At 39.8% G+C, this 12,614-nt stretch overlaps 1 protein-coding gene across 7 annotated transcripts in view; it reads right to left on the bottom strand.

Moving 5' to 3' along the window:
- WASF3 (WASP family member 3) overlaps positions 1-12,614 on the bottom strand; it is a 149,810-nt gene that overhangs the window by 87,436 nt on the left and 49,760 nt on the right. For 2 of the 7 annotated variants that reach the window (XM_047430059.1, XM_047430063.1), the window contains exon 1: positions 7,791-7,900. The exons of the other annotated variants lie outside the window; for them this stretch is intronic. The gene's annotated coding sequence lies outside the window, so the exon portion shown is untranslated. Of the gene's footprint in view, positions 1-7,790; positions 7,901-12,614 lie in introns of those variants that run through there. 7 annotated transcript variants of the gene reach the window in all.

Below are 12,614 nucleotides of genomic sequence, written 5' to 3'. Positions count from 1 at the left end.
TCTGCCCCTATCCTCTCCATCATCCCCCATCATCCATACTCCAGTGACAAGATGCTTCTTTCAAAGTCTAGAAGAGCCCAAAGGCAGGCCTCATCTCTGTAGAACCTTGAGCACAGGAATAATGATTAAATGACTATAGAACTCCACATACAAAGTAAACTGAAGAAATTAAAGTGGTAATAAACCTATACACAGAGACAGTCAACAGAATTAAAATTAAAGCACTCCAGTAAGTTACATCTACAGTATTATCTTCTCCCCTCAAAACTGCTGAGATAAATGGAATTCCATGGAAATTTCCTAAAATAAATGCTACGTAATTCACATACCAAATACACAGAGATTAAGTACCATTTTTATCAATCTGCTTAAAATTAATGACCTCAAATCTTAATACAAAAGTAATCAGCAATTTTTAAAATACATCTGAAAGCAAGTGAATGTTATTGCACCTAAAAGTGCTGAAAATACACTATATAAACCCACAAAACCATGAGATTTCAACACAGCATGGCTCTATCTACTATATAACCTATAAATGTAAGCATTTTCAACCTAAGAGAACCAAATTGCTAATCATCTCTACCCTGCCACAAAGAAATCACCCTGACTATATACCACATTCCCACAACTAAGGAAAGGAGGAAAGACAGAAGTGGAGAGGTGGAGAGAGGGTGTGTAGGGAAGAGACATTAACATTCTACAGTGCTGCGACAGTGTTTCTTCTTGGAGGTAATAAGTAATGCAGAGCGGATGCTCCTGTTCGTCTTTTGGTGATGAATCCAACACAAGATTAAAGTCATGAAAGAGGAGCTAAAACATCTGGCCTCCAGTACTAACCAACCAACAGCAGAACGGAGACACCCCAGCTCCCATGAGCATTGTGAAACATCTTACTAAATACACCTTCTTAATCAGGATTTGTATCTGAATTCTCTGCTGGGATGAAAAGCTAACCAGGATTGTCTCTGCCCTGCCCTGACATGAGAGCAACCAGAAAGGAAAAAATGAGAAGCAATGTACTTCACTGCTACTGAGCCTGCCATGCTGAGCCAGAACTCTGCTTTACATTCTTAGCCTCTCACTTGGTCCTCATAGCAATCCTATGAAGTAGGAACTATTAATATCCCCATTTTACAAACAAAGGAACTAAGAAACAGAGAAGTGAAGTGGCTTGCCCCAGGTCACACAGTACATAATAGAGTTGAGAGTCAAACCTAGAAAACCTTTTTTCAGAGACCATGCTTTTAACCACTAGCCTTCTCTTCTTTTATTTGAAATGAAATATAATCTTGCTGTAAAGACAGCTCAGGAAATGTAAAGCCATCCTGTATCCATCCCACTCACCTTACTGCCCACTCTACCATTAAAGGTAAATCTCAAAATCTTTCCTACAGTAATCCTAGTCAAACCACTCAAGCCCTGGGAAGTTTACTTTGTACTTCTGCATCATTTAATCTTCGGAGCCCAAAGAGGATGACAGATGTGGGTGTTTTAACCTCCAATTAACAAAGCAGTACTTTCAGAGAGTAACTGAATACTACTACAAAGCTCTAAGTGGCAAAGCCAAGGTGTGAACTCCCCAGTCCACTTAGAAATGATGCCTTTTGGAAATATTTTATCCACTTTGCCTCAATGAATCAAATCCCATGGGATGACTGTAACCTCCATTCTATAACATTACACAGAGACAATTTGCCCCAGGATTTAGAAAATGTGGATAGAACACAAAGAAACCTACAGGAAGTAAGTATCAGATATCAAGAAGGCCTTCATAGGCAAAGTAGTAATCCACAGCTGTTTTCATCTGTGGCAAAGTGGTGGAAAGACAAAGAATCTGCCAATAGATAAGGGTAAGAAGATACCAGCTGAACTGTTAACAAACTTTTAATGTCTCCATGTGAGCTGAAATGATAGATTAGAATCTCCAGGAGCCCCAAAACACAGCAAATCTGCATCCACTTGCCAACTCTTTCCTGTGGGCCTTAATCAAATACACATGGGTAGTGCACAAGGTGCTAGGGCAGGAGAGCTGAGAGAGCCCCTATGTCACGTCAGGCACCTGTGAAGTCCCTAGATGCAGAGCAGCAGCCTGACACCAGGAGGAAGGCAAGTAAGTGGACAGAAATCAGCTTTTACCATCTCTACAAAAAATACAGAAAATTAGCCGGGCTTGGTGGCAGGCACCTGTAATCCCAGCTTCACCAGAGGCTGAGGCAGGAGAACTGCTTGAACTCAGGAGGCAGAGGTTGCTGTGAGTCGAGATCAGCCACTGCACTCCAGCCTGGGTGACAGAGCAAGACTCCGTCTCAAAAAAAAAAAAAAAAAGAAATGAAAAGAAGAGCAGGGCAGGCCAGGCGCAGCGGCTGACGCCTGTAATCCCAGCACTTTGGGAGACCAAGACGGGTGAATCACCCGAGGTCAGGAGTTCGAGACCAACATGGCGAAGCCCTGTCTCTACTAAAAATACAAAAATTAGCCAGGCGCGGTGGCATGCATGTGTAATCCCAGCTACTCATGAGGCTAAGGCAGGAGAATCGTTTGAACCCTGGAGACAGAGGATGCAGCGAGCCAAGATCGTGCCAGTGCACTCCAGTCTGGGCAACAGAGCGAGACTCCGTCTCAAAAAATAAATAATAATAAATAAAATTAAAAAGAGCAGGGCAAAGAGATACCTTCTGAGGAGCTGAAAGCCATCGAAAGAGTATAAATAACTCACCACTGTCCAGAAAGGCTAGCAGCCAAGCTATAAAACAAAGAGAAATCTCCCACCACTCAGGAAGCTGGCAGCTTGGCTCTGAAGCATAAAGAGATCTCCAAGATCTTACTGGGGTTCGGAGTGAAAACTGCCGAAAACAAACTCGTGATCCCACTCTCAAACTATGTGAATCCAATGGTAAACTGACTCTAATTAATGCTACTTCAAAGCCCAGATCCAGCTCAGTCCCCCTCATTAACAGTGTGACAAAAGGAAGAGCAAGCCTTTTGCCGGGATAGATATTCCTCAGTCTTTCTTGTTCTTAATGTCCAGCAAACAATAAAAAATCATCGGGCCGAAGAGCTTCTGCACAGCAAAAGGAACTACCATCAGAGTGAAGAGGCACTACAGAATGGGAGAAAATTTTTGCAATCTACTCATCTGACAAAGGGCTAATATCCAGAATCTACAATGAACTCAAACAAATTTACAAGAAAAAAACAACCCCATCAAAAAGTGGGCAAAGGATATGAACAGACACTTCTCAAAAGAAGACATTTATGCAGCCAAAAGACACATGAAAAAACGCTCATCATCACTGGCCATCAGAGAAATGCAAATCAAAACCACAATGAGATACCATCTCATACCGGTTAGAATGGCGATCATTAGAAAGACAGGAAACAACAGGTGCTGGAGAGGATGTGGAGAAACAGAAACACTTTTACACTGTTGGTGGGACTGTAAACTAGTTCAACTATTGTGGAAGTCAGTGTGGCGATTCCTCAGGGATCTTGAACTAGAAATACCATTTGACCCAGCAATCCCATTACTGGGTATATACCCAAAGGATTATAAATCATGCTGCTATAAAGACACATGCACACGTATGTTTATTGCGGCACTATTCACAATAGCAAAGACTTGGAACCAGGCCAAATGTCCAACAATGATAGACTGGATTAAGAAAATGTGGCACATATACACCATGGAATACTATGCAGCCATAAAAAATGACGAGTTCATGTCCTTTGTAGGGACATGGATGAAGCTGGAAACTATCATTCTCAGCAAACTATCGCAAGGACAAAAAACCAAACACCGCACGTTCTCACTCATAGGTGGGAATTGAACAATGAGAACACATGGACACAGGAAGGGGAACATCACACACCGGGGCCTGTTCTGGGGGAAGGCAGAGGGATAGCATTAACATGTTAAATGACAAGTTAATGGGTGCAGCACACCAACATGGCACATATATACATATGTAACAAACCTGCACGTTGTGCACATGTACCCTAAAACTTAAAGTATAATAAAAAAAAAAGACTAAAACGTAAAAACAACAACAACAACAACAACAACAAAAAATCAAGGGGCCAGGCGTGGTGGCTCACGCCTGTAATCCCAGCACTTTCGGAGGCCCAGGCGGGCAGATCACTTGAAGCCAGGAGTTCGAGATCAGCCTGGCCAACATGGCGAAGCCCCATCTCTACTAAAAATACAAAACATTAGCCGGGTGTGGTGGCACACACCTGTTAATTCCAACTACTCAGGAGGCTGAGGCATAAGAATGGCTTAAAGCCAGGAGGCAGAGGTTGCAGTGGGATGAGATTGCACCACTGCACTCCAGCCTGGGTGACAGAGTGAGATGTCTCAAAAAAATAATAATAATAAATAGAAATAATGGGACACAAGGAGGAGACAAACATGGTCCATTTTTAAAAAGTCAACAGAGGGTACATCCATATATGATCCTGATGTTGCAACCAGTAGACATAACTATGATAAATGTACTAAAAGACTTAGTGAGAAAGATGAGCAGGTGAACATGAGCAGTTGGAAGATTTCATCAGAGTAAAATAACAAAATAGGTAAATAGAAAAGCCAGAAATGGAAATTACAATTTCAGAAAGAAAGAACTCATTCGATGAGCTTAACAGAAAACTGGACATAGCAGAAGGTGGTTCTATGAGCTGCAGAGAGAGAAAAATGGAAAACAAACAAGGAAACTGCCCAAGAGCTGAGAAATAATAAATGGCTTGAATATACTGGAGTCCCAGAAGACAAGGAGAGAACCGGATAAAAGATATCTTAAGAAATAATAATCTGATAATTTTCCAAATGTAATGAAGGACATCAACCCACAGATCGAAGAAGCTCATTAAACCCAAAGATAGTAAACACAAAGAAAAATCACACCTAGGCACATCATAGCCAAATTGCTAAAAACCAAAGACAAAGAGAAAATACTCAAAGCAACCAGAGGAAAATGAGACATATGACTTGCAGAAAACTGCAATAAGGGCAACATTTAAGAAGGCTAAATTTTATCAAAAATAATTAAAGTCAGAATATGATGAACTGACATGTTTAGAATGCTGAGGTGTGGGGAAAATGACTGTCATACAAGATTCTTTGTCTAATGAAAAAAACTAGAGAGAGAACTCTCAAAACTAGCTTTTTTTAAAAAAAAAAGTAAACAATCCAATTATGAAAAGAGCAAAAAAAAAATAAACATTTCACCAAAGAGGATATACAGACGGCAAATAAGCAGAAGAAAAGATGGTCAACATTATTAGGCATTAGAAGAATGCAAATTAAAACCACAATGAGATATCATTATTCAGGTTAGAACAGTTAAAATAAACAGTGATAATACCAAAGTCTGGTGAGGATGCAAAAAAAAAAAAAAAAAAGGATCACTTACACACTGCTGGTGAAAATGTAAAATAGTACAGCTACTCTGGAAAATAGTTTGGCACATTCTTACAAAACTAAAGATTCACTTTCCAATAATCACATTCATGGGTATTTATCCCAGAGAAAATATATTCATAGAAAAACCTGTACACAAATGTCCATAGCAGCTTTACTCATAATAGCAAAATAGCAGAAACAATGCAAATGTTGTTTGCGTGGATTGTTGAACCAACTCTGGTATATCCATACAATTGTAAACTGCTCAGCAATACAAAGGAATGAACAATTGATACATAAAACAACCCGGACAGACCTCAAAGACATTTTGCTTAGTGAAAAAAGTAATCACAAAGGTTAAATATGGTATGATTTCATGTATGTAACATTCTGAAAATGATACAACTAATAGAGATGAAGAACAGGGGCCAGGGACAAGGAATAGGATGGCTGAGGGTACAAAGAAATTGCACAAGGGAGATTTTGTGGTGATGGGACAGTACTGTATCTTGAAGGTGGCAGCGGTTATACGAATCTACACATGTGCTAAAACTGCAGAGAACTTTACACACTCACACACACACACCTGCAGTTTAAAATACAGTGAACAGTGAATAAGGTCGTTAGTACGTACCAGTATCAATTTATTGGTTTTGGTATTGTACTACAAGCTATAAAAGATGTCACCTTTGGGGAAGCTGGGCAAGGGTACATGGAACTGTGAACTTCTTTTTTGCCATGTTCTGTGAGATTATTACTATATAAAAATAAAAGGTTTAATATTTAAAAAGGAAGGCAAAATAGACATTTTCTGATAAGCCAAAGCTGAGCAGATCCATATTTAAAAAGATGCTGAAGTTCTTCAGACTGAATGGAAACAATATCAGACAGAAACAGGAAGAAAGAACACCAAAAAGACATCAAGTCAAAGTACGTTCCTCCTGAGATATTCCTTTGTTCAACTAACATTTGTTAAATATCTTTTCTGCAAGTCTTTATGGTAAGTGCCATGGGATCAAAGATAAATAACACTCATACTGTCTATGATACAAACATACACATAAATATTAGCAACAAATGACATTGAAGACTACGTTATCAAGGTACTTATACACTGCTGGTGGTTATACAGAAAAGGAAGTTGTTGTTGGGAAATGGTAGGTAAAGAAAGACTTCCCAGAGCTGAATCTGAAGATGAATGTTAAACGAACAACTGAGGGACAGTATTCTAGACAAAGAAGTCTGCCAGAGAGCAGCCACAGAGGAGTGAATGAGGAAGACAGACAATGTGGAGCTCCAAAAGGTCAAGATACCCAAGAAGGAGAAGGAAGAAAAATCCCCAGGAAATGACAGAAGGCAGACTAGGGAAGGACTAGGCAGAGCACACAGAGCCCCTGTTAAATAAGGAGGATCTACAAGTAACCGGGAGAGTTGGAAGGAACTTAATTTACTTAGGAAAGGAATAGAAAACAGGCGTTCCAGGGAGGTAACTTTGGCAGTATGAATGATGTACACGGGGAAAGTGATACAGGAGCTACAACAGGGCAGTAATACAATCGTCCAGAAAGGAGACGGTAGTAAGCTTAGGCCACTGCTGCAGCCAGGAGCGCAAGAGTCAAAGGGCATATACAAGTTAGCTGAGGATCAAGAGGAAACGGAGGAACTGACGATCACTCCCACAATTCCAGCTTGAGTGCTGAAAAGATTTTACCTTCATTTATCTCAAAAGGGAACAGAACAGCAAAGAGCAGGTTTTGATGGAAAAATAATTACACTTTTGGAGATGGTGATCTTGAGGTACCGGGGGAACCACCAGATATCTAACAAATGCAGAGTTAGACCTTGGAGCAGAGGCCATAAATTAGCCCTCGCTGGAACTGAAGGACTAGAATAGAAGAGCATTTGATGGTATGGCCAAGGGGAGTAAATACAAAATGAGAAGAAAATAGTATTAAGAATGAAATTCCAGGAGAAAAAGGCCCTTTGAAAATTTATATTTTAAAAAGTATAAATTGGAATACTTTTGTTGTCATTATATGTTAAGAGCCTTAAATTACCTAAATCAATGTAACTAATTCTTCTTCTAGTAATACAGTAATATATGAATAAAGGAATGAACACAAATGTGGACAAAGATTTATACACGAAGATGTTCCCTTCAGTGTTATGTATGTAATAAAACACAGAAGCAACTAAATCAGCCAAAGGAAGGAACTGATTTAAAGCAAACTATGTTAGAGCTATAAATTATTATGCAATGACCTATGCAGTATTTTAGAAGACTTGTTAATTATGTGATAACATTTTTCTGACATGACACTAAATGGAAAAGCATGCAAAGTAGTGTCTATAGGATTTATTTATGCAAGAATATTTATTGGATACCTACTATATGCTAGTACCTAAGTGCTGAATATAAAATGCAGTAAAAGGCAGACAATTCCTTGTTTTTATGGACCTTGGATTCCACTGGAATGTGACTCAAAAAGAGCAAATAAATAAATCTGCAAGAAAATATGACATGAAATAAATGCTAAGGCACACAAAACAGTGACAAAAGAATATTATCAATTACATAAAAATACCTGAAGTTAAATTTAAAGACATAAAGCACAAGACTAACAGTAAATAATAATAACAATAATTTAAAACAAAGCAAATTTCAGGTGGCTTGGTAAATGGCCTAGAAAAATAAAGGTGAAATTATAAACAGAGTGGACACTTTATGATTTGATCTTCAGCATATTCACAAGACAGAACTTTCATAACCTTTCATCTTTCTCACCCTCAAACCAAAAAACTCAGGAGGCACCGGCAAGCAGTACGCTGAGGGAAGCCCATGCTTCGGCCAAGTCGGTTTGGACCAAAATGAATTCCTCAGTAATGCTAAAGGTAGAAAATTTTGCAAGATAAATGACCCTTCCATAAACAAGCTAAGATGATATTTTTTACATTTCCACTTTCATTACAGTACAACGCCCCCACTCCCCACCCACATACATTCACCTAAGTTTATTCATCCATTCACTGAACCAATATTGCACGGCAGGGACTCCCTAAAAACCGTTAACATCCCCTAGAAACAGTACTCAAATGCTACAGAAACCCAAAAACCAATTCCTGAAATAAAAATATTAGACTGCTTAAACATTTGTGCAAAAACATTTGTGAAGAAAATCACTGTAAATATTGCCACAAGTTGTGTATCATTACAGAAATGACCTTAGAAAATAATCCATGTATGCTTAACCCACAGAGACAGGCACACGCATACACAGCTCAATGACATTTATCCTGAAAAAATTACCCTGGAACAGACAACTGACAAGACACTGATAAGAATGTCTTCATATTAGAGGGAGAGAAATTGAGAAGACATTGTATTATACACTGAATTGTATATAATCCACCAAAATCATGTGGAAGCTCCCAACCCTAATGTGATGCATTTGGAGGTAGGGCCTTTATAGTGGTAATTAAGGTTAAATGAGGTCATAGGGTGGGAGCTGGATCCTATGGGACCTATGGCCTTAGAAGAAGAGACACCAAACTCACACTCTCTGCACCCACTCAGAAGAAAGGCCATCTGAGGACAAAGAACTCGCAGGTAAACCAGAAAGATGGCCCTCACCAGGAACTGAACCCTGCTGGAACTGTGTTCGTGGACTTCATAGCCTCCAGAACTATGAGAAAATAAATCTCTGTTGTTTAAGCTATACAGTCTGTGGTATTTTGTTACGCAGCCTGAGCTAAGACACACTGTAAGGTAAAATTACCATAAAATTCATAAATAAAACAGATTCACTCCCGCAAAAAAACAAAAATATTTCCAATATTCTGGAATCTTTCCTGAAAATTAATTATCACTCAAACTACTATTAATCACATGCTTCTTAAAAAGTCAGCTGTCAGGTTGAAATATTTTATTATTAGAGATTAGTTAAATAAATCACTTTGTAGAGATTGGTGATATCATGAACTTCATTAAAACTGCAGTTCAGCAAAGCTTATTGGTCCAGAAATCAAGCAAAGCCCAAAATAATCTAGAATCACTGCGGTAGAAAGCAAAAAAAAAAAAAAAAAAACTCGCCTGCTCCTTTGAGGTCCTTTTGAATGACTACCTAGTATCTTTCCAGTTAGACATCCATTCTGAAATAACAGCTGAGTGCACTGGGATTAACACCCCACAGTGAGCCCGGCAGGGATGCAAGTACCTTAAGGGGTGACCAAGTAATAGTCACCAGTGCCCAGCCGTTCCTAAAGCATCCCCGACCTCAAGAACCTACAACTCAGTCCTCGGACCTTTTCTCTTCTCTATCCCGACTCCCTCCTTTCCTGATCTCATGGTTTTAAATGCCACATATATCCTGACAACTCCCAAATTCCCATCTCCAGCCCAGACCACTTCCATGAACTTTGAAACTGTATACTCAACAGCTAACTCAGTGTCTTCACGTGGATGTCTAATACACAACCCTAATATGAAATATAACATGCCCAAAATTGAACTCCTGACGTTCCCCAGCAATCTAGAGCTCGTAGTCTCCCCCTCTCAGTTCATGGCAACCCCATATCTCAGCTGCTCAAGTCAAAAACCCTGGGCATCCTTAATTTCCCTCCCTCACTGTCAGATCCACCAGTAAATCCTACTAGTGTTTCCACCTTCTAAATACATCAAAATCCTACTGCTTCCCCCACCTCAACTGCTTGCATCCTCACCCAAGCCTCCCGGCTGGTCTCCACTTTATTCTCTGTTCCCCAACAGACTGTTTTCCTGAGAAGCTAGAGCATTTCTGTCAAAGAAGTTGGATCACATCTCTCTTCCATTTCAAACCCTCTGGTGGCCGTTCAGCACACACAGTGTGATGAAAATCTAAAACCTTTACGATGACCTAAGAGAGCCACATGACCTGCTTCCTTCCCTCCCCTAACCACTCTGTCCTCATCTCTTACTCTCTCCCTCTCCCCTCCTCATTCTACTGCAGGTCTCCTCCCTGAACACACACACTAGAGAGCAGCCCACCAAGACCTTTGCACTTGCTACCATCTCTCCTGGAATGTTCCGCCCCACCCACCTACACCTGCGTGGCTCAGTCCCTCACACCTCCTTCAAATCTCTGCCCAAATATTACTTCTGCCTCACCCCAATTAAAACTGCAAGTCCTGAACCTCCTTACCCTTTTTAAATGATTTAGTTCTCTCCATTACCATCTATTATCTTCTAATATGCTACATGTGAATAATTTATTAATTTGTCTCCTTTACTGCCCAATTCTCCCATTAAAATGTCAGCTTTGTGAGGGCAGGGATTTTTTTGAGGTTTTGTTCACTGATGTGTCCCAGTGCCCAGATCAGTGCATGGAACACAGTAGGTGTGCAATAACTCACTGCTGAAAGGATAAAAAGTGTATGTGGCATTTTATTCCCACATTTTACATAGAAGAACGCAGAGAAATATTAGCTTAGCAGACTTTTGACATATTGATTTGGACCCTTTCTCTGTGTGCCCTCCCTTGGTGATCTCACCTAACAATCTCATTGAGATCTGCCTGGGCTTAAATCCCATCCAGATTACTTTTGTGAGTAGATTTATAGGGCATATTTCTGGTTTAAGACTCACATTTAAAGGTGACATCTGTAGGAGTAAAGACATTTAAAGAGAAAAAGAAATTTTAACCAAATAATCTATTTTCCACCTTCTTTCGGGTTTCTTTTTTCTCAAATAAAAAAAGGTCAAAATTCAAAACTATTACTGGAGTTAAAGTAAATACCATGTTACATTTTTACAAAGAGTTAAGAGGTGGCAATCTTATTAGTACAGAAATAACTAAAAATACCACAAATTTTACTTTTTTCTCTGTGATTTAACAGGTGTTGGGGGGGCCTCTCAGCAGAGGGTCACGAATAAAAAATTAACAGGATGGAAATTAGCGCGATGGGAAATGAAAGCATCCAGGCTTCAAACCAAGAACATTCTGACAATGTCTTACAAACTGAGGACTGACAAAGCATATTAATGAGAAATACTGTTAGAATGCTATTCAGATATGGGTCTTCAGTTGCAGCTTTCCAAAAGAATTGGTTTCAAAGGGGAAGGGGAAGTTACACATAGAAAAGCAAAAGCATGTTCATGTTTTCCATTCCTTCCTGTACACTGAGCTCATGAGGTGAACCTTCTTCTGCCCTGGCGTAAGTCCAGCAATGGGGGGTGGCCATTCAAGAAACTAACACAAGAAGCAGGACAGCACTGCTCACTAACATTAAAATCTACAGATACATCTAGTCAAATTGAGTATGTTTACCTCTGTTCAAAACAATCCAAAGCATGAGGTCTAACATTCCCTCAGAGGCAGAAGGTATCCTACACCCCAAACTACACTAACAGCATTATCTTTTATTTTATTTTAAGTTCACACATAAATCTGCCAAACTCTGTTGTGCTTTGGAGAAATAACTAAAGAAAAGCTTTAAATACTAGATATAGTCAAAAATCATTCTAAAAGTATTAACATGGTACCAATTTTATTCTTAACATTCAACTAAAGCCAAAACAGCAAGACTCCTCAAACAAATGCATCTATTGACGATGCCACATCAGGCTTGCATCACTAAACCTCAGTAAGACTTTACCACTTGCCTACATAAGTCACTTTCTAAGCCATATGGTTGCCCATCCCTGCTGGGCTCAATTTGCAGTAAAGTTCTGATATCTTGCAATCACAGCAATTCCCAACATGACACCCTGTTCAGTGGCCACTTCTTCCTTCAATGCTCTCCAGGCACTGCCCCCTCCACTCCACATTACCCAGTTCTGAGAGGAACCATTTTTAGTGCTAAACTTCATGTCTGATAGAACAAGTTGAAACTTCTTCCAAACTAATACTCTCACAAAATGCCCCACAGTCTACCTATTTGGTTGAACAAAAACAGAAAGGAACGAAGTAACTATCCATCTACTGAGTATTTGAAAAGCAGACATGGAAGAATGCTCAACCTCAAGCAATATAAAGAAATACAGGGCCAGGCACAGTAGCTCGTGCCTATAATCCCAGCACTTTGAGAGACTGAGGCAAGAGGGTCATTTGAGCCCAAGAGTTTGAGACTAGCCTCGGCAACATGGTGAAACGCCATCTCTACCAAAAAAAAAATAGCTGGGTGTGGTGGTGTGTGCCTGTGGCCCCAGCCACTTGGGAGGCTGAGGTGGGAGAATCAC

The sequence above is a fragment of the Homo sapiens genome, chromosome 13 (assembly GCF_000001405.40).
Source record: "Homo sapiens chromosome 13, GRCh38.p14 Primary Assembly".
NCBI lineage: Eukaryota > Metazoa > Chordata > Mammalia > Primates > Hominidae > Homo > Homo sapiens.
Note: the sequence above shows the minus strand (reverse complement) of the source record. Positions and strands in the feature narration are given on the sequence as shown.